This window comes from Homo sapiens, chromosome 12 (assembly GCF_000001405.40).
Source record: "Homo sapiens chromosome 12, GRCh38.p14 Primary Assembly".
Lineage (NCBI taxonomy): Eukaryota > Metazoa > Chordata > Mammalia > Primates > Hominidae > Homo > Homo sapiens.
In genome coordinates this window covers 92861024-92883456 of record NC_000012.12, presented here as the reverse complement: position 1 = coordinate 92883456, position 22433 = coordinate 92861024, and the positions used below count along the sequence as shown (strand labels likewise).

General features: G+C 39.0%; 1 protein-coding gene across 2 annotated transcripts in view; it reads left to right on the top strand.

The window, feature by feature from the left end:
* The window catches only part of EEA1 (early endosome antigen 1), a 158659-nt gene that overhangs the window by 45839 nt on the left and 90387 nt on the right, over nt 1-22433 (top strand). Inside the window, exons 3-4 of one of the 2 annotated variants that reach the window (XM_011538814.3) lie at nt 11923-12048; nt 18470-18597. In XM_011538814.3, coding sequence (XP_011537116.1) covers nt 11923-12048; nt 18470-18597 — 254 coding nt within the window. The remainder of the gene's footprint in view (nt 1-11922; nt 12049-18469; nt 18598-22433) is intronic. The other variant, NM_003566.4, reaches the window with a different exon arrangement.

Sequence of the window (22433 nt, the reverse complement as noted above, 5' to 3'; positions counted from 1 at the left end):
AAAGCAATTGCAACAAAATCAAAAATTGACAAGCCGGACTAATTAAAGAGCCTCTGCACAGTGAAAGAAACTATCGACAGAGTTAAGAGATAGCCTGCAGAATGGGAGAAAATATTTGCAAACTGTGCAGCCAAGTTTGCAGATATCAAAGGTCTAATATCCAGAATCTGTAAGAAACTTAAACAATTGAACAAGCAAAAAGCCCCATTAAAAAATGGTCAAAAGACACGAACAGACACTTCTCAGAAGACATACAAATGGCCAAGAAACGTGACAAAATGGTCCATATCTCTAATCATCAGAGAAATGCAAATCAAAACCGCAATGAGATACCATCTCACACCAGTTAGAATGGCTGTTATTAAAATATTAAAAAACAAATGTTGGTGAGGCTGCAGAGAAAAGAGAATGCTTATACATTGCTGGTGGGAATGTAAATTAGTTCAGCCACTGTGGAAAGCAGTTTCGAGATTTAAAGAACTTAAAACAGGACTACCATTCAACCCAGTAATCCATTACTGAGTATATATCTGAACAAAACAAACTGTTCTACCAAAAAGACATGCGCATTTGTATGTTCATTACAGCACTATTCACAATAGCAAATAAATGGAATCGGACTATGTGCCCATCAATGGTGGATTGGATAAAAAAAAGAAATGGTACATATATACCACAGAATACCACACAGGCATAAAAATAACAAAATCATATTCTTTGTAGGAATACTGATGCAGCTAGAGGCTATTATCCCAAGCAAATTAACACAGGAACAGAAAACCAGATACTGCTTGTTCTCACTTATAAATGGGAGCTAAACATTGGGTACTCATGGACATAAAGATGGCAACAACAGAAACTGGAGACTACTAGAATGAGAAGGGAAGGGGGTGGGCAGTGGTTGAAAATCCGACTGTTGGGTACTATACTTAGTACCTGGGTGACAAGATCATTTGTACCCCAAAGCTCAGCATCATGCAATATACCCAGGTAACAAACCTGCACATACACCCTCTGAATCTAAAATAAAAGTGGAAAAAAAAAAAAAGATGCCAGGTACGGTGACTCATGCCTGTAATCCTGCACTTTGGGAGGCCGAGGCGGGCAGATCACCTGAGGTCAGGAGTTTGAGACCAGCCTGGCCAACGTGATGAAACCATGTTTCTACTAAAAATACAAAAATTAGCCAGTCATGGTGGCACGTGACTGTAATCCCAGCTACTCAGGAGGCTGAGGCAGGAGAATCACTTGAACTCAGGAGGCAGAGGTTGCAGTGAGCTGAGATCACTCCACTGCACTCCAGCCTGGGCAACAGAGTGAGACTTTGTCTCAACAAAAAAAAAAGAAAAATCATATGACTAGAAAGATTCCATAGAGCCAAAAAAGAAAAGGAAAATCGTCATAACAAAGAGAAAATATATTTACTATTCTTTAAGTGGAAGGTCATAAAGGTCTTCATTTTTGTCTTTATGTTGAGTAGGATGAGGAGGAGGAGGAGGAAGAAATGGAGTTGGTCTTGCTGTCTCAGAGGAGGCAGAGGTGGAAGAAAATCCACGTGTAAGTGGACCCACACTGTTCAAACTTGCGGTGTTCGAGGGTCAGCTGTAATAACATATATAATATATGTAATACATAATGTAATAAGTGATATTTTATATCATTTCATTGTTTTCATCAGGACAGTTCAGACTGTTTAGTACACCATATTGCTAGAAGTAAATGTCTTTGTTTATTGTTTATCCTATTCCAAGCTGGCTTCCATCCTCAGTTTTTCCACTGAAACTACTCACTAATGGCCTGTCTTTTACTAATTCTCATCTGTACTTCTTTGTCCTCATCTTACTTTACTTCTTAGACGCATTTAGTCCAGTCGACTCTTGCTGTCTAATAACGCAGTCTTTCTTGTGCTTCTCTGATACCTCTCTTCTGGTGTTTTTCCTACCTCTTCAACTGACCTCCAGATGTTGTAGTATCTCAGTACTGCATCGCCTTTCTTTCCCTTTCTTCCTTTTCCTTTCCTTCCCTCCGTTCCTTCTTTCCCTCCCCTCCTCCTCTCCATCTCACTCTGTTGCCCAGGCTGATTGTGGTGGTGTGATCACTGCTCGATCTCCCGGGCTCAAGTGATCTTCCTACCACTGCCTCCCGAGTAGAGTAGGTAGCTGGGGACCATAGGCACACATCACCATGGCCCTGATAATTTTTGTTCTTTTTTTTTCATAGAGATGGGGTCTTGCCATGTTGCCCAGGCCAGTCTTGAATTCCTGGGCTCAAACAGTCCACCCGCCTCGGCTTCCCAAAGTGCTGGGATTACAGGCATGATCTACTACACTGAGCCCGTTTTCTAAAAAGCCAGTCAGATTTAGCAGTGGGAGGACTACCTCATCCCTGATCATGTGCCTAGAGAGAGCAGGCTTTTCTTGTTAGCATAGTCTGGTGTTTCCAGATTGCTGGCTTCTCTAGTATTCATTTCAGAATATATGAGGCAAAGAACTCATCAGTCTGTCATTCCTTGTCTCCTGAGATCACTAACTGGTCTGCCTTCCCCTCTGTATCTTTCAGAGTCTTCTTACATTTGTTTTATATGTAATGTCCATGAATTTTAGCTGTACTTGGCAGAAGGAATAAGGAAAAGTGCATCTATGCCATTTTTTCTGGAATTGGAAATGCCTATTTTAAAAATTAAGCCAGGTGTGGTAGCTCACGCTTGTAATCCCAGCACTTTGGGAGGCCGAGGCGGGCTGATCACGAGGTCAGGAGATCGAGACCATCCTGGCTAACACTGTGAAACCCCGTCTCTACTAAAAATACAAAAAAATTAGCCGAGCATGGTGGTGGGTGCCTGTAGTCCCAGCTACTCGCGAGGCTGAGGCAGGAGAGTGGTGAGAACTTGGGAGGTGGAGCTTACAGTGAGCCGAGATTGCATGACTATACTCCAGCTTGGGCGACAGAGTGAGACTCCGCCCCCTCCAACAACAACAAAAAAAATTAGCCAGGCACTGTGGCGTGTGCGTGTAATCCCAGCTACTTGAAAGGTTGAGGCAGGAGAATCGCTTGCTCCTGTGAGGTGGAGGCTGCGGTGAGCCGAGATTGCACTACTGCACTCCAGTTAGAGTGACAGAGTGAGACCACAACTCAAAAAAAAACAAAAACATTGGATTGTCTTTTTATTATTGAATTGTGAGACTCCTTTATACTGGGTGCAAGTCATTTGCATTTGCCAGTGTTTTCATTGCCTCCTATTTACTGTGTAGTGAAGGAGGGATTTTGCCCCAGGTTATGGGAATGGCTGAACATGTAACACGTGACACTGGACAGTTGAGATCAACAGCAGTTTGTTTTATGTTTACAGCCTAGGGGAGTAGGACACTACATGCCATGCATGGCTACATGTAGATTACATTTGGGAACAAAATGAACAACCAGGGGCTGTAGGAGGCAGGCTTGGTAGTATCAAGAGTCTGGGGTGCCTTCTGGTTCCTAAAGAAGGATATGATTGGATTGTTTGGATAAGTCTGTGGGCTGGCAGGGGACCAGGACATGGGAAACCCACTACGTAGGGATAAGCAGGGACTGTGCCTGGTCCCTGTGATCAGAAGGGCTGTTTGAGTAGGCAGCCTTATCTGTGGGAGGAGAATGGGGAGGCAAACTTCTGGTTAGGCCATTTGAGGCCCTCCCACTTTCACCAGATGTCAAGGCAGCACACAATATTGGGCCTTAATTTGGGTCAAATATTAAATAGAATTGGGGAGAGTAAGTATTTTACTTTGTGAACTTAGGGAATAGCATTTAAGGTTTTTACCACTGAGAATGATGGTAGCCATGGGTTTTTTTCTGATCAGCTTAAGGATGCTTTCTAGTTTTCTGAGAGCTTTTCCCCTTCCCTCCCTCCCTCTCTCCCTTCTTTTCCCCTCCCCCTTCCCTTTGAATGAATTTTGAATATTGCCAAATGCTTTTCCCACATCTATTGAGATGATAATATGATTTTCTCTTTCCGTTACTGTGAAGATTTACATTGATTTTTGAATGTTGATCTACTCTTGTTTCTAGGATAAGCTCCACTTGGTCTTGCTGTGTTGTTACTATTTTAATACAGGTGGAGCATCCCTAATCTGAAAATTCAAAATCCGAAATGCTGCAAAATTCCAAACTTGAGTGCCGAAATGATGTTCATTTCAGATTTTGGATTTTTTTGGATTAGGATGTCCAACTGGTAAGTATCATGTAAATATTCCAAAATACAAAAAAAAAAAAAAAATCCAGAATCCAAAAGTGTCTCAAGCATTTCAGATAATGGGTGCTCAGCCTGTATACTGCTAGATTTCATTTGTTTATGTATTTTTGGGGGACCTTTTCATTTGGTCATGAGGGATATCAGTCTGTAATTTTCTTTTTTGAAATGTTTGTATCAGGTTTTGGTATCTGGGTTTTCCTGGCCTCATAAATTAGGGAGGTATACCTTGAATGTTTGCTAGAATTCACTAGTAAAACCATCTGGGCTTGGAGCTTTCTTTTTGGGAAGTGTATTGATTATTACTCAGATTCTCTGTTTCTTTTTGAGTCAGTTTTGGTGAATTGTGTTTTTAAGGAATCTGTTGTTTCATCTAATGTGTTGAATTTATTGGCATAAATGTCTATAGCATCTGTAGTGATATCCCATGATTTTGGTAAGAGATAAAATATTTTATCCTTTTCTTTCTTTCCTAATTATTCCTATTAGTTTATCCATTTATTAATTTTTAAGGTAGCCAACTTTTGACTTTGTTAATTTTCTCTGTGTTTTGCTTTCCTCTTTTATTGGTTTCTGCTTTTATATTTAATTTCCTCCATCTACTTACTTTGGATTTAGTTTGCTCATCTTTTTTCTAGATTCTTAAGGTGGAAGCTTAGGACTTTAATATGCATTTTAAATTTAATATTTGTCCTAAATTTATTGTTTAAGCTAAATTCTTGCCCTCCAGTCTTTCCTACCCCAACATTCAACTTGCTATTCTTTTAGCTGTCTCAGAAAGCTGAAAATTGTAGAAAATCTCAGATATTGAAGCTCAGGATTTCAGAGTAAACTTGATTCTTCCTTTTCCTCATCCACCATATTCAGTACATGATAAGTCCTATTCATTTTAGCCCCCAGATATATCTTCAGTCCGTTCCCCCACCTTTTTTGTTTTTTGTTTTTGTTTTTTCCAAAGGTAGCTGTATGGAAATTTAATTTTTAATTTTCTTGTAGCGAGGGGTCTTGCTATGTTGCCCCAGCTGGTCTCAAGCTCCTGGCTTCAAGCAATCCTCCCACCTTGGCCTCCTGAAGTGTTAGGATTACAAGTGTGAGCCACTGTGCCTGGTCTTATCTTCTTCTTTCTGTTTCTGCTGGTCACCTAGATGATCATAAGGGTGTATTATCCTTATCATTTTAGGTCACTTCTCCAAAGAGCAACCACAAGGACTGGAATCAGATCAGGCCATTCCCTGAATTAAAATCTTCATTGGCTTTAGGAAATGCCTGCTTCCAGCTTCTGCTGGAGGCTATGCTTCCCAGCAAGAAAAGAAAAAAGAAAATTCATTGGCTTCCTATTATGCAAAATAAATTCCATTATATCTTATCATGGTCTATAAGGCCCTGCATTTGTGGCCTCCACCTACCTATCAAATCTCATTTCTTAGGCCAGGCGTGGTGGCTCATGGCTATAATCCAAACACTTTGGGAGGCCAAGATCACGAGATCAGGAGTTCGAGACCAGCCTGACCAACATGGTGAAACCCCATCTCTACTAAAGGGTGTGGTGGCACGCACCTGTAGTCCCAGCTACTCAGGAGGCTGAAGCAGGAGAATCACTTGAACCCAGAAGGTGGAGGTTGCAGTGAGCCAAGATCGCACCACTGCACTCCCGCCTGGGTGACAGAGCAAGACTTTGTCTCAAAAAAAAAAAATTATTTTAATTTTAGTTCAATTATCACCTTCTCAGAAAACCTTTTCTATTGAAATTGCTTAAGCAATAATTTTAATCCATTCTGTTACTGCCTTAACACAGACTACCATCAATCATTAACCCTCACATATTATTGTAACTGTCCTCCTTTTATCTGATGTTACCCACCTCCTATCTCCTCTCTCTTCCAATTGAATCTATTCTTTTAAAATATCGCTAGGATTTTATGATGCCATTTTCCTGGTTAAAACCCAGGTTAGGCCAGGAATGGTGGCTCATGCCTGAAATCTCAGCACTTGGATGCCCAGGCTGGCGGATCAGTTGAGGCCAGGAGTTTGAGACCAGCCTGGCCAACATGGAGAAACCCTGTCTCTACTAAAAATACAAAAAAAAAAAAAAAAGAAAAAAGAAAAAAGAAAAAAAATTTAGCTGGACATGACAGCACATGCCTGTAATCCCAGCTACTCGGGAGGCTGAGGCACGAGAATTTCTTGTGCCTGGGAGGCAGAGGTTGCAGTGAGCTGAGTTCGTGCCACTGCACACCAGTCTAGGTGATAAAGCAAGACTCTGTCTCAAAAACAAAAAAAAAAAACAACACCCAGGTTAATGGCTTTCAATTAATTGTCCTTAGAATAAAGTCTAAATTCTTTAGCTTGTTCTAGAAGTTTTTTTGTTGTTGTTTATTTATCTTTTTTTTTTTTTTTTGGTGATCAGCTTTCTTTTTACCTCTATAGCTTCATTTCTTCTCATAGTCTTCTTGATACTCTGATCCGGGCATATCGAATTCTCTGTTTTTATAGTGTGCCAAGTTTTTTCTTTTCTTGGGCTTTTCCATAAGCTAATCTCTGTACCTCACCTGCTTATCTTAGTAAGTTCAGACTGCTATTATAAAATACCACAGACTTGGTAGCTTATAAACTGCAGAAATTTATTTCTCATAGTTCTAGAGTATGAGAAGTCCAAGATCAAGGTGCTGGCAGATTTGATGTCTGATGAGGGCCCATTTCCCGGTTCATAGATAGGGTCTTATCCCTGTGTCCTCACGTGGTGGGATGGGTTAAAGAGCTCCCTTTTACCCATTTGTTAGGATAAACTAAAAAGTATTTATCCTGGTGGAGCTTACATTCAAGTGGGTGGAAATAGGCAAAAATAAAAACATACTAAACATGTATTGGCCAGGCATGGTGGCTCACGCCTGTAATCTCAGCACTTTGGGAGGCTGTGGTGGGAGGATCGCCTAAGACCAGCCTGGACAACATAGGGAGATGCCATCTCTACAAAAAATAAAAAAGAAAATTAGCCAGGAGTGGTGGCATGCACCTGTATTCTCAGCTACTCGGGAGGCTAAGGTGGGAGGATCGCTTGAGCCCAGCAGTTCGAGGCCGCAAGTTAATCATGATTCTGCCACTGCATTCCAGCTGGGATGATAGAGTGAGACCCTGTCTCAAAAATAAATAAATAAAAAATGTATCAAGTTAGACAGTTGGTGTTATTGAAAAAAATAAAGCAGGAAAGGAGGCATATAAAGTGTTCTTGGTGGCTGCAATTTTAAATAGTTATCAGGGAAGACTTCTCTGAGGAGGGGATAACACAAAAAGAACTGAAGGAGGTGAGGAAATGAGTCACGTGGATTTCTGGGGCAAGTATTTTTCCAGGTCTGTGGAACAGCAGGTCTCTAAGGTGGGAATATGCCTGTCATGTTGAAAAAGCAACCAGGAGGCTATTGTAGCTGTAGCATAGTGAGCAAGGGGGAGATTGGGTCAGCGATCGGGTCTGCCTCTTGTAGGGCCTTATAGACTATTATACAGACTTTAGTTTTTAACTGTTACTGTCGTAGAAAGCTATCGGATAATTTTAAGCAAGGAAACGACAAGATTTGATTTGCATTTTTATGGGATACACTCTAGCTGCTGTGTGTTAGTGGGGTGAGGGTAGGAGCAAAGAGTGTTAGGAGGCTGTTGTAATGATCTGTGTACAATGTGATGGTGACTTGGAGCAGAGTGGTAACAGTAGAGGTGCTGAGATTCTGGATGCATTTTCAATGTGGATTTAATAGGATTTTCTGATTAGTGGGGCATAAAATGTAAGTTTTTCTTTTTTGAGACAGAGTATCACTCTGTCGCCCAGTCTGGAGTGCAGTGGTGCAATCTCAGCTCACTGCAATCTCTGCCTCCTGGGTTCAAGAGATTCTCCTGCCTTAGCCTCCCGAGTAGCTGAGACCACAGGCGCGTGCCACCATGCCCAGCTAATTTTTGTATTTTTAATAGACCATTGGCCAGGATAGTCTTGATCTCTTGACCTTGTGATCCGCCTGCCTCAGCCTCTCAAAGTGCTAGGATTATAGGCATGAGCCACTGTGTCTGGCCTAAAATGTCATTTTTTTGGGTAACTTTTTCAGAGAGGCTGTAAGCTTCTTGAGGGTGAAGACCTTGTCTTATTTATCATTGTATTCTTAGCACCATACCACAACAGCTAGAACATAGTAATCACATGCCCATGTGATTTTTAAAAAATCGTATATTACTTAAAAAAATTTATTTACTTTTTAAATTGACACATTTTAATTACACCTATTTGTGGGTTACATTTTGATGTTCAATACATATGTATGTTGTATAATAATCCGATCAGTGTAGTGTATCCATCACCTTATTCATGTATCATTTCTTTGTGGTGAGAGCATTCAAAAGGCTGTCTTTTAGCTATTTTGTGATATACAATATTTCACTGTTAACCACAGTTACCCTACTGCATGGTAGAATACCAGCAAGTAAATACTTTTTGAATGAATGACTGTATATGGAAACTTAACAGTGAAAAACAAGAGTAAAGTGAAAGGCAGCCTAAAGCTATGGTGGCAATAACAAAACAGCTGGGCACTGTGGCTCACGCCTGTAATCCCAGCACTTTGGGAGGCTGAGGCAGGCGGATCACCTGAGGTCAGGAGTTCGAGACCAGCTTGGCCAACATGGTGAAACCCCGTCTCTACTAAAAATACAAAAATTAGCCAGGCCTGGCGGCAAGCGCCTGTAATCCCAGCTACTCGGGAGGCTGAGGCAGGAGAATCGCTTGAACCTGGGAGGCAGAGGTTGCAGTGAGCCGAGATTGTGCCACTGCACTCCAGCCTGGGTGACAGAGCGAGACTCTGTCTCAAACAATACAAAACAAATGAAGCATATTTTCTTTTTCTTTTTTTCTTTTTTCTCTTTCTTTTTTGAGACAGGGTCTCACTCTATTGCCTGGGCTGGAGTGCAGTGGTGTGAACATGGCTACCGCAGCCCGGACCTCCTGGGCTCAAGTGATCCTCCCGCCTCAACCTCCTAAGTACCTGGGACTATAGGTGCATGCCACCATGCCTGGCTAAATTTTTTTTTTTTGTATTTTTTGTAGAGATGGGAATTTGCCATGTTGCCAAGGCAGGTCTCAAATTCCTAGGCTCAAGCGATCTGCCTGCTTTAGCCTCCCAAAGTGCTGGCATTACAGGTGTGAGCCACTGTGCTGGGCTGAAGCATCTTTTAAAGAAGAATTGTTCTGTAGTTCTAGCACTTGAGACTGTGGTCATCTGGAAGACAACTCTTTCATCAGTTAAAAAAAAAGATGAACTCATATTCCTCATTTTCATCCCCTGGATAATCTCCTTTAAAGGTTATTAACAAAAGGAATAATTAAAGTAATGATAGCTAACATTTACTGAATGTTTTCTTTGTACCAGGTACAATGATAAATGCATTGCATGTATTATCTTATTTAATTGTCATGAGATTCATATGAAGTAGGTGTTATTGTTATTCCACTTAACAGATGAGGCAATTGAAGGTCTCATAGCTACTAAGAGTGATATGAATCCAGGATTCAAGCCCAAGCCTAGCTCTTAATTGCTACCCTGTCTTGCTTCCCATCTGGCATCTGTTTTCAGTCTTCCTCTCTCTCCTTGCTATTCTAAGTGACTTTGATAACTCAAGGAACATTTTAACCTCCCAGTTCCTTAATGTTGTCAATGTCAATGATCTTTCGTATCTCTTTTCTTGCTACTTAATTCCATGGCAGTACCTTCTACTGTATCATCAGGCACAATAGTTTCACCTGAAATATTAAAGTCATATCTCCCCATTCTTTACTATAATTGTCTATCCTTTCACAAACTTTCTTCTTCATATTCTCATTACTTCATTTCCTTGGCCTTGCTGAGTAATCTAGGTTTTTAATTGCTATCTTTTCATCTAGTCTCTCAGTCTTTCCCTTTCATCTTTAAGCGTACATCTAATGACAATTCATATTCGTTGAGCACTTACAATATCTCAAGCACTGTATTTAGTATTTTATATACACAAAAACTCTAGAAGAATAGGTGCTAGTATTAGCCCCATTTTATAGATAAGGACATTTAAGCAAAGCAAAGTGATTTCCTTAAGGTCATATAATCAGGCATTGGTTGAGACCCAAGACCCAAGTCCACATCTATTTTTGACACTGACACTCATGATGTTATAACATTTCATGCTTATTGCTGTCTTCATTTTATTTACTTTCTCCCTGATGCTTTCAATTCTAGTCTCTCATCCTATTATTCTTTTTTTTGTTTGAGACAGAGTCTGACTCTGTCACCCAGGCTGGAGTGCAGTGGTGTGATCTTGGCTCACTGCAACCTCCCCCCTCCCGGGTTCAAGCCATTCTCTGGCCTGAGCCTCCCTAGTAGCTGGGATTACAGGTGCACACCACCATGCCTGGCTAATTTTTGTATTTTTAGGAGAGATGGGGTTTCACCATGTTGGCCAGACTGGTCTCGAACTCCTGACCTCAAGTGATCTGCCTGCCTTGGCCTCCCAAAGTGCTGGGGATGCAGGCATGAGCCACCATGCCCAGCCCCTCATCCTATTATTCTTATTTGACAAAACCTCAAGCCATACATACATCAGTATAACAGCCCATATTTTAAAATATAGATATTGTTAGGTATATGTAATTTAAAATACTGTTTGAAGATGGTTTTATTTGGCTCAGAAAATTACAAGGAAGAATCATCTGCTGGGAATTATGGGTGTGGGGAAGAATGGGATCTCAACCTAGTGGAATATAGTAAAGACTAAAAATTACTTTCATTAAATTACTTTCAAAGAGAACTTCTTTGTTGAACACATTATATGACATAAAAGTATTTGTTATACTTGCCAGTAATTTCTTGATCTCGGCTGGGCGTGGTGGCCCACGCCTGTAATCCCAGTACCTTGGGAGGCCGAGGCAGACAGATCTTCTCAGGTTAGGAGTTGGAGACCAGCCTGGCCAACATGGTGAAACCCCATTTCTACTAAAAATACAAAAATTGGCCAGGTGTGGTGGCACATGCCTGTAGTCTCAGCTACTCAGGAGGCCGAGGCAGGAGAATTGCTTGAACCTGGGAGGAGGAGGTTGCAGTGAGCCAAGATCGTGCCACTGCACTCCAGCCTGGGCGACAGAGTGAGACTCCGTCTCAAAAAAAAAAAAAAAAAAATTAGCTGGGCCTGGTGGTACGCGCCTGTAGTCCCAGCTACTCGGGAGGCTGAGGCACAAGAACCCCTTGAACCCCGGAGGCGGAGATGGCAGTGAGCTGAGATGGCACCATTGCACTACAGCTTGGGCAACAGAGTGAAACTGTCTCATAAATAAATAAATAAAATAAAAGCTAACTTGCCGATAATAGGTCTTACATAGGTAAGGACAAAGTATCATAAGCAGAAAGAATTTTTTAAAAGTGTCATAAACAAAATAATATTCTAACTGAAGCAACTGGATACCATAATGAAAAGGAATTGAACCAATGCAAATTTATAGCATAAGGATGGGAACTAATTTTAGAAGTCCTACTTTGGATAGATTTTCACCTTTTGTACAGTTACCACTTGAAAATTTTCCTTACGTATACCAGAAGAGATACACTAGTTATTTTCTTGTTATTTCTATTTGCATTGTCTTGTTTTATAAAAATATTTTTCTGTATATTTTTCTAAAAGTTGTTATTTCACAGGGTTTCATCTGCCCCTTATGTATGAAAAGATGTATAACTGCTATTGATTTATTGGAGCATTACCAGAAAGTGCACGATGAAAATGAAACAAGAGGACAGGAACTTCTTAATGACTCCAGTGTTACTGTGGGTCCTGTATATTTTGTTTTAGCAGCTTGGTTTTGGGTTGCTCAAAATAGCTGGTTTTTCCTTGCCTCGGTGTTGCTTAACTTTTTATGCTACAAGGGAATATGGATTGCTTTAATTATGCATGCTTAAAGGAAGTTTCAATAAGGAAAAGAGGCTCTTGGGAAGTCTGCGTGGTTTCTCTTCCTGTTTGCAGCTGTCTTTTTGTGAATTTGTAAATAAATACAGAAATTTAAGTTAATATTTTGTATCAATTTTGCCATGAAATCAAAATATTAAGTGAATATTATTCCAACATTGGTAAGTTATATTTTTATTATTTTGTTAATGTTTCATTAATGGATGTATTAAAATGCTTTAGTATAAAATACTTTGCTCTTACTTAGAAAAAGGACTTTGAGGCTGGGCACTGTGGCTCACGCCTGTAATCCTAGCACTTTGGGAGGCTGAGGTGGGCAGATCACTTGAGGTCAGGAGTTTGAGACCAGCCTGACCACTGAGGTCAGGAGTTTGAGACCAGCCTGGCCAACATGGTGAAACCCTGTCTCTACTAAAAATACAAAAACTAGCTGGGTGTGGTGGCATGTGCCTGTAATTCTAGCTACAGGGAAGGCTGAGGCACAAGAATCGCTTGAACATGGGAGGCAGGGGTTGTAGTGAGCCGAGATCATGCCTGTGCACTCCAGCCTGGGCAACAGAGTGAGACTCTGTCCCGTCCCTGCCCCACCACCGCCAAAAAAAAAAAAGGAAAAAGACTTTGCATATAAACAGTTATTGTCCCTATTCAGGAAAATATACAGCGTTAGAACTTGAATCTCAGACTGTCTCAATTTTTGTTTTAACACCCCTAGACTTGAGGAAGGTGACAGAATGACATACTCTCATAAGTAACAGTGGATCAGTCCGAAAATATTTCTCAGTATTTCCCAGTATCTGAGGCTGCACGTAACAAAGGCTGAGGAGGGGAGCAAGTTAGGGGAAGCGCTGCCCATTTTCAGGCTGAAAAGAATTTCTCAGATGATCCTGATAATGTGTTTTCTTTGAAAATCACTATGGTATTCCAAAAACAAAGGAAACATAGCTTTTAAAAAATATTTTATAAATCTTATAAAATAATGCAACCTTTTGCACCAGAAAGACCAAAAATTACTTTTTTCTATGAGGTAATTATGTATATAAGAAAGGATTCTTAACAACATTTAGTTATTTGACACATTAATGGAGTACCTTTTATGTGGCAGATATTTTGGCAGGTGAGGGAGATAATAGGTGAATAAGGTACAATCTCTACCCCAGGAGGTTTCTATGATAGGTATTATTTGCAAAAAGTGCAGTGGCTAATTCAGCATAAGAGGAACTCAGGAAAAACTTTATAGGAGGACAGTTAAACCAGAGATTTTAACTGTGGTGGAGAAAATGGGTGCATGTAGGATGATACCAGTTAAACTGGCTGAAGCAGTGCAAGCAAAGCTGGAGGCATAAAAGATTCTTGAAAATCTGGTTAGCATTTTATCACATGTTATCCTTCTGGACCTTGTGGGTCAACTTTTCTTCTTGATGGACTAGCCAAAATCAAAAGTAATAATCTCACCTACTCTGCACTTAAAATAAGGGCTTTCCTTTTTTTTTTTTTTTTTTTTTTTTTTTTTTTTTTTTGAGGCAGAATCTCACTGTGTCACCCAGGCTGGAGTGCAGTGGTGCAATTTTGGCTCACTGCAACCTCCACCTCCCAGGTTCAAACAGTTCTGCCTCAGCCTCCCGAGTAGCTGGGACTACAAGGGTGCATCAGCATGCCCAGCTAATTTTTTGTATTTTTTTTTTTTTTTAAGTAGAGATGGGGTTTCACCATGTTGGCTAGGGTAGTCTAGAACTCCTGGCCTCAAGTCATCGGCCTGCCTTGGCCTCCCAAAGTGCTGGGATTATGGGCGTGAACAACTGCGCCCGGCCAGGGCTTTTTCTTTTAACTAAAAGGATACTTGGTACAACAGGAGTACCTTAAGTTCCAGTTAAGGTAAGTTCTTAGTTGCAGTGGATATGAGAAAGGATTACAGATAACCAAACTCTGGAAGTATTGAATATATTGTTTTAAATCTTAAGTAAATTGTGTTTTTTGGAAGTTGGTGACAAATTTGAAATGACTAAGGGAAATAAATGTAGCTGGCTAGTTTTAGTGTGTTATTGTTAGCTAACAGCCTTTCTCTGGAATTTATCTATCTAGCAACCTCGATCCCCTTGGACATCATTTAGAAAAAAATAGAGGAGTCTCTTATATCAAATTGGTTTTCAAAGTCCATGAACTAAAGGTCATGCGATCTGTTCATGGGACATCCCTGAGGCACTCATTCTAAACTCATTATACTTTTATTTTAAATGAATGATGGGTTTTAATAAACTTTTTTTTTTAATCTACCCATCCCATTTATTGCAAGTTAGCATTCCCAGAGCTAGTATGCTAAGAATTTTTAGTAATGACTGTTGAAATACAGAGCAGGCAAACTATAAAATGTGGATATAAGAATTAAAGAGGCTTGCCAGAATTAATAGGGTAGAAGACATCTTTTCAGTGATAAATATTTATGTCTTGGAGGTATTAGACAAAGGTTTAATATCATCTATTTGAGAAGGTGCGGAATTATATGTATTTTAGAAAGATTTATTTTTATTAGAAATGTCCCCAAATTTAAGTTTTATTTAAACAAGGAAATCTTAATCACATGGAAAATTCACTTATGTGGAATATTTCTATAATGAAATGTATGTTACTGATTTCTGAAATTTCTCATTAGGAATGAATCATTTATTTCAGGGTATTAATCTGGTAATTTTTGGAAGTTGTAAGAAGGTATGGCATACCTCAGTGTGATCATTAGCTTTCTGGCACACTTAGGTATCTGGAGCCCAAACCTGAAAGTGGAGCCAATAGTCAAAAAGCCACAGTTGTGAAGATTAAATCGTGTAATAGGGATGTAGCTTCTCCGAGGAACACTTTTTCATTTGCTTTCTAGTTATTAGCAGAAGTTGAGACACAAAAGAGAAATGACAGGCTAAACATTATATGGGTACATGTACTGTTGCACTAAAGGCATATCTACTAGTGTTGTACAACAGTGGGTAGGAGATCTAAGAATGCCAACAGATGGTTTTGAAGAAAAGGAGAATAACAGCAGCTAGACTAACATCCTGACTGGGAGCATTCATTCATTCAGAAGACAATGTTGAGTACCATATCTCTGGAGCCTAATGGCATTACTGTATTCTGATGTCCAGAGGCACATCCTCAATACTACCGTTTGCTCATTTCAGGAGTTTCATAGGAGATTATTGCATTTATCACCTGTTGTGCCCCTGCCCTTCATTCTGGCTCTGTGATCAGAACACACCTAGAAGCCTTCTGTTTCCTAAATGTAACATGACTATTCATAGTGTTTCCTGCACCTTTGTTTATGCTCCTCCATTTGCTTAGAATGCTTTTCTCTCTGCCAGGTAAACTCCTATTTATTCTTTCGTACTGAATTCCAGTGACTGTGTCTCTCTCTCTCTCTCACACACACATACACTATGCAGCTGCAATGAGGATGGAGATGAGACACATATATAATATGTATGTGTATATGTATTTTTGTAAAGTATTAACTGCTGCCACAGGTGGAGTTGGATACTTCTCCTGTGTTCCTGTAATTCTTTATATATAATTGTATTATATAGCATTGTATGGTAATATTTGTCTACATATCAGTATCCCCAATAAACAGTGAGCCTTGATTCTGCCACATAATGTGCACAAATAATAAATGAGGATGTACATTTTTTGGCATCAGCATTCAAGGAGCAGTTTTTTTATTTATTTATTTTTAGTTTTTACGTGCTCAGAGTACTTATTGCTTAGCTCATTTTCTCCCTTAGAAGATTTTATAATCTGTAAGCTATTAAAGATCTTCTTTTTTTTGGCCAATTTTTGCACTGCCATGTTCATTCATATTTCAGTGAATAAATATACAATATAGAAAAATATAGTATGTTTAAAGTACCACCTGTGGCCATTATGGAAATATGGATGAAAAAAATCCAATATGCTGTGTATTACAGTGAGTATAGGAACTTGACAAGCTAATGAGGGTGCTCCTGGAGGGAAAAAGCAGTATACGCAAAGGCACAGAAATTTGAAGTATGATGGCGTGCTCAGGGAAACGCAGGTATTTTAGTATTGTTGAAGTATGGTGAGGGAGTGTCTGGAGATCAGACTGCATAGGTTGTTAGGGGAATGGTTATGCAGAACCTTGTATGCCATATTGATGATAAAGTTTGCTGAAGGATATTGAAGAATCTGTTTTAGAAAGATTCCTCTGGCAGCTCTGTGGAAGATTAATTAGGAAGAGGGAAGACTGGATATAGGAGCACTGTTTCTAATGTTATTGCAGAGTGTGGACAAGAGATACTGAGTATCCGAACACGAGCAGCTGCAATGAGGATGGAGATGAGAAGATGGAAAGGAGAAATGTTTATGCTTAATGTTTTATTAGAAATGAGTGAGAGGGAGAGTAGTGAGTAGTTTAGCCAAATTTTTAGGTTTCTAGTTTAGGTGAAAGGTGGGCGTTGATGAGAAAAGGAGGTTTGGAAAATGAGTCTTGCATTTGTTGTATTTGAGATGCCTGTGGGATGCAGGTAGAGATATATGTTGTTAAAGATCCAGAAGAATTCTGGAGTGAGTTATTGGCTAGATAGATGGATTTGGGAGTCATCAGCATGTCAGTGATAGCTAAAACCATTGCATTGTTATATACCTGGGAGAATGCTGAGTCAGAAGAGGAGGAGGTCAATGAGAGAGCCCTGGGGAACAGTGATCTTTAAAGGGAATTGTATTTTTTTTTTTTTATAGAATCAAGAGAGGATGACCATTCTTATATGTAAAAGCTGTACATTCTAATAAAACTTACTTTCCATAGAACCTTCAAAGTTATAATATATTTACTTGTTGCTTACAGTGCCGAAGCACCACTGCCACACACATTCCATTTTATTTTTGTATCTCTAATAGAGGGGAATTTTAGAATTGTGGTGTACTTGATGGAAGCAAAACAAGTTTATTTCTTGCTACCTTTAATTAGCAGAATTGTATGTGTAATAACTTTATCATGATTTTGCTAATTACTATTTTAAAAAAATCTTTGATTTAATGAATGACTACAAATATTCTTTTTTTTTTTTTTTTTTTTTTTTGAGAAGGAGTCTTGCTCTGTCACCCAGGCTGGAGTACAGTGACATGATCTTGGCTCACTGCAACCTCCACCTCCCAGGTTCAAGCAATTCTCCTACTTCAGCCTCCTGAGTAGCTGGGACTACACGTGTGTGCCACCACACCCGGCTGGGCATGGTGGCTCATGCCTGTAATCCCAATGCTTTGGGAGGCCGAGGCGGGTGGATCACCTGAGGTCAGGAGTTCGAGACCACCGGGCCAACATGGCGAAACCCCATCTCTACTAAAAACACACAAATATTAGCTGGGCGTGGTGGCGGGTGCCTGTAATCCCAGCTCCTCGGGAGGCTGAGGCAGGGAAAATCGCTTGAACCCAGGAGGTGGAGGTTTGCAGTGAGCCAAGATTGCACCATTGCACTTCAGCCTGGGTGACGGAGCGAGACTCATTCTCAAAATAAAATAAAATAAAATAAAATAAAATAAAATAAAATAAAATAAAAAAATAAAAGTTGCAACCCAGTAAGTTGATTTCATAATTCATTAATGAATTGCAACCTAAAATTTGTAAAACATGGATCTTTATCAGCATCTTTAACATAGTACTCTAGTTGGTAGTTTTAACCATATAATAATTTTGAGATTAGTTATGTAGTTATGTTTGTTTTTTATATTTTATGGGGCTACACATTAATTTTAGGCCTTTACTGTGTTAGCTGTAGGTTAGCAAGGACATTTACTGACTAGAAAACTTGTTATCATTGTAGATATCCAAACTCTGTGGTGATTATGAATTACTTTTTTTCCCCCTCAGTGGTTCATCTTCTTTTTTTTTTTTTCATAGCATTCCTATGAAGTAGATTGGAACAGATATTATTTTACTAATGAGGATAGCTAGAGAAAGGAAGGATATGATGGCAAATCTTCTCAACTAATCTATATTAGAACTAACTTTTCAGATTAGACTTGGGTACTCCAGCTATTAATTTATCTGACCTAAAAATAAAAGATGGTTGCAAGGGCTTTCTTTGTATTTTGTAAACTTCAACTAGAATAGACAATGAAGTATCTTTGCATGATACTAGAATTTGGGATTAATACCATAAGATAAAATTTACCTAATGGCACCATTGGTATGATTCAGACATTTGGTGATATTTAATAATATGCAAATTGTTATTTCACAATATTAAATACTATTTTGAAACTTTTTTCTGCCCCTTTCTATAGGGTTTCATATGTCCCCAGTGTATGAAATCTCTTGGATCTGCTGATGAACTTTTCAAACATTATGAAGCTGTTCATGATGCTGGTAATGACTCAGGTCATGGAGGAGAGTCTAATCTTGCTTTGAAGCGGTACGGTATGATAATTTTGAAGTATAATGTTATGGAATATGCATGTGGTATCGTCGTTTAATCATGATTAATTAGCTTATGAAAATAGTAACCTTTTTGTATTATTTAATTTAAATCTGTCATCATTTAGCATATCCTTCCTCCACTATTGTTAAAAACTATTCAATCCTTGACCAGTAACTATCTATGCCAGCAAGTACAATACGGTACATAGGTTATGTTTTTAATGAAGATTGTGAGTTAGCAAAAGAAGATTAAATTATATTTAGCATATTGTGTGTAATATAAGATGATACGATTTGCTTAGATGACTTTATAGTAAGTTGTTAAAATAATAAATTTAGCCAACAATTAAAATTTAATTTTTAATTTAAAATTTAAAAATTTCCATTTATAATCACCAGTATAGCAATAAGCATACGTACACATTGTGTTTCCTGGTAATTTTTCTTGGCCATTTTAAGAAGTAAAAGTAAACTAAAATATAACTACTTAGAATAGCATTCAATGGTATAACTTTGCATTTCTTCTGCTATTGGAGAGAACTCTTGTCTTTTATCCCCACTGAGGGCATAAAAGTTTCACTTCATTGTACTTGTAAAAAAGTATTTTTATGCTTTCCTAAAAAAAAACTTACTGGTTGATTAATCTGCTGTAACACAAAGAATACTACATAAAGGAAAATATGATAACCATATAAACTTTGTGGTTGATAGATAATGTAGATCTATAAAACATGGCCATTTTACTGTATTAAAATATGTGGGAAAACCAGTGCTTTTGGGAAGAATGGATCTTCCTTTTTAATATGACTGCTAATGCTCTCGGGTATTTTTATGTGTGAATTAATAATTTTGGCTACTATTCTTTTGTCATTTGTTAGGAAATACATTAAAAACATGTAGTTAAATTATATTATAAATGTTCTTATATTTAATATCAATTTAATAGAGTTGTGTTTCAACTATGAATTAGACTGTGTCCAGTATATGAACTTTTAACATAAAAGCATCCACGGTCTACCCTTGTTCTTCTTAACTTTTCATTTAGTGTTTTAGTTAATTGAAGCCTGACTTCTGCCCTACCATTCTCTGGCTATGGCTCTGAAGACCAACAGTAACCTGGATTATTTTCAGTTCTTATTTTGCTTGACCTCTGTTTTGATTATCTATTACTGTCTGACAATCTACCCAAAGAACATAGTGGTTTAAAACTATAACAGTTTATGAATTCTCATGATTCTTTGAATTGACTGCATGATTCTTTTGCTTTAAGTGAGGGAGACTGGGGTTGTAGGAAGACCAGAAGGTTCAAAATGGCCTCACATTCATGGCTGGAAGTCTGTGTTGGATGCCAGCTGGGAGCTCATCTGGGGCTTTATGCCAAAGGCTTCAATTCTCTTTCATGTGGGCCTCTTTATGTGGCTGCTTGGACTTCCTCAAAAGCTGGTAGTTCGTTCTAAGGTAGTATGTTCCAAGAGGAAAGAAGCAGAAGCTGCCAATCTTCTTTAGGCTTGATTCAAAAGTGTCAGAGCATCACTTCTGCCATTCTATTGGATAAAGTAGTCATAGTGCCAAGTCAGATTCATGAGGCCTGAAGATAAACTTTGTCTTTTAGTGGATTAGTATAGGAAAGGAAGAACTTGATTGTAGTCATCTCTGTAGAGTATCTGCAACAACCACTGCAAAATTTGGCTGTGCCAGTTCTCCTTCCTTCTACTCTTCTGAGATGACATACCATTGTGATAATTTTTTCTTGATCTGTTTTGTATGCTGCTCTTTCTCTGTATGATCTACCTAGGGTAATATCTACATCCATAACTTCCTCCTAAACCATATCTCCAACCTAGAATTATCTCCCAACTTGCCTATTAGGTATCTTCCCTCAGATGTTCTGGAGGCACCTCATCATTGACATTTTGAAAACAGAGTTTTTTCTGTTTTCTTCTAAACCTACTGCTTGTCTACTATTACTTCTTCTGGAGAATGGTGTCATTATCTGTCCACCCAGTTAGTAAAGCCAGGAAAGTAGGTGTGATCATTTTTACACATCTGCTCCTCCTACCCGCATCTGATTTATCATAAAGTTTAGTTAATTCTGTTTCCTTAACAGCATATATTCTTTTACATTTTTACTGTTATAGTTTATTTTAGGCCTTAAATCTCACTCAGAAATGTTTTTTCATATTTATAGTTGGCTCTCTATCTTTAGTCTTGTACTCCTCCAATTCTCCATATTGCTGCCAGAATAATATTCTTTTTTCTTTTTTTTTTAGAGATAGGATCTTGCTCTGTTTTCCAGGCTGGTATAGTCATAGCTTACTGTAGCCTCCAACTCCTGGTCTCAAGTAATCCTCGTGCCTCAGCCTCCCAAGTAACTGGGACTACAGGCATGGACCAACATGCCTGGCTAATTTTTACTTTTTTTTTCTTTTTGGGACAGTGTCTCACTATGTTGTTCAAGAACCTCAAGAAGTCCTCAAGGAATTCTCCCACCTCAACCTGCCAAAGTGTTAGGATTGCAGGCCTGAGTCACTGCGCCTGGCCAGAATAATATTCTTAAAATGCAAATTTGATTGGCATTGCTCTAAGTAGTAATTTTTGCAGGCTTCTCATTGCTTACGGAAGTTACTGCATGCGTTTCCGTTTTTATTGTATTGTATCTCTTCTTCCCATTTTCCTACACCTCAGTTTCTGACAATTACATTCTACTCCACTATAACACTGTGGATGACATGTGACTATGAGCAGGCTATGTCTTTTAGATCAAAAGTCCACATGACTCAGGTGGGTCATGAAACCTTTTTGCTTTAAAGCCTTCTGTTCATCAGCTTATATGCGAATTTCATCAACATCAATCAAATATTTGAAGCTTGATGCATTAGTGAGCTTTTTTAGGCTAGATCTTTAAATGTACATATGTAGATGTACATAGTACAAAATTCAGATGGTTCAAAAAAGTTTATGGTGAAAATTGAGCGCTTGCCACCCCTTTTTCCCTAGCCTCTTTTTTTCATCAATTTCTTACGTATTCTTCCAGAGATATTCTATGCTTATATATTCATATGCTTATATCTATGTACATATAAATAAATATATAAATATATGTAATTATATAAAAGATAGCAATTCTACGTTGTTCTGTATCTTTTGTTTCTCTCTGTATCTTATGGATTCTTTCATATCAAGGTAGATAGAGCTATCTTATCTTTTTAATGATAGCATGGAATTTTCTCATTCTTTGGTTGATGACTATTCAGGTTATTTCTCATGTTTTGCATACTTATGACATCACAAAGTTCCTTTGGAGATACCATTTGTACTTGTTTGAGTATATCTGTAGGATGAATTTGAATCCAGCAGGGGAAGATATGTTCCTGACATCCAGAATAATAATTTTTTTTTGAGACTGAGTTTTGTACTTGTTGCCCAGGCTGGAGTGCAATGGCACAATCTCGGCTCACCGCAACCGATACCTCCTGGGTCCAAGCGATTCTCCTGCTTCAGCCTCCTGAGTAGCTGGGAATACAGGCATGCGCCACCACGCCCGGCTAATTTTGTATTTTTAGTAGAGATGGGGTTTCTCCATGTTGGTCAGGCTGGTCTCGAACTCCTGACCTCAGGTGATCTGCCCGCCTCGGCCTTCCAAAGTGCTGGGATTACAGGTGTGAGCCACCGTGCCCGGCCAGAATAATAATTCTTTATAATGATGTTTTCTCATGAAATCTCTCTCCTGCAGAAGGGCTTAGAATGGTCAGTTCACCATTCTTTGTCAGTTTGACCCTTAGGTGAGGGGAACAGAATGTGAGAAGCTTCTGAGACAGGAAAGAGCATGTC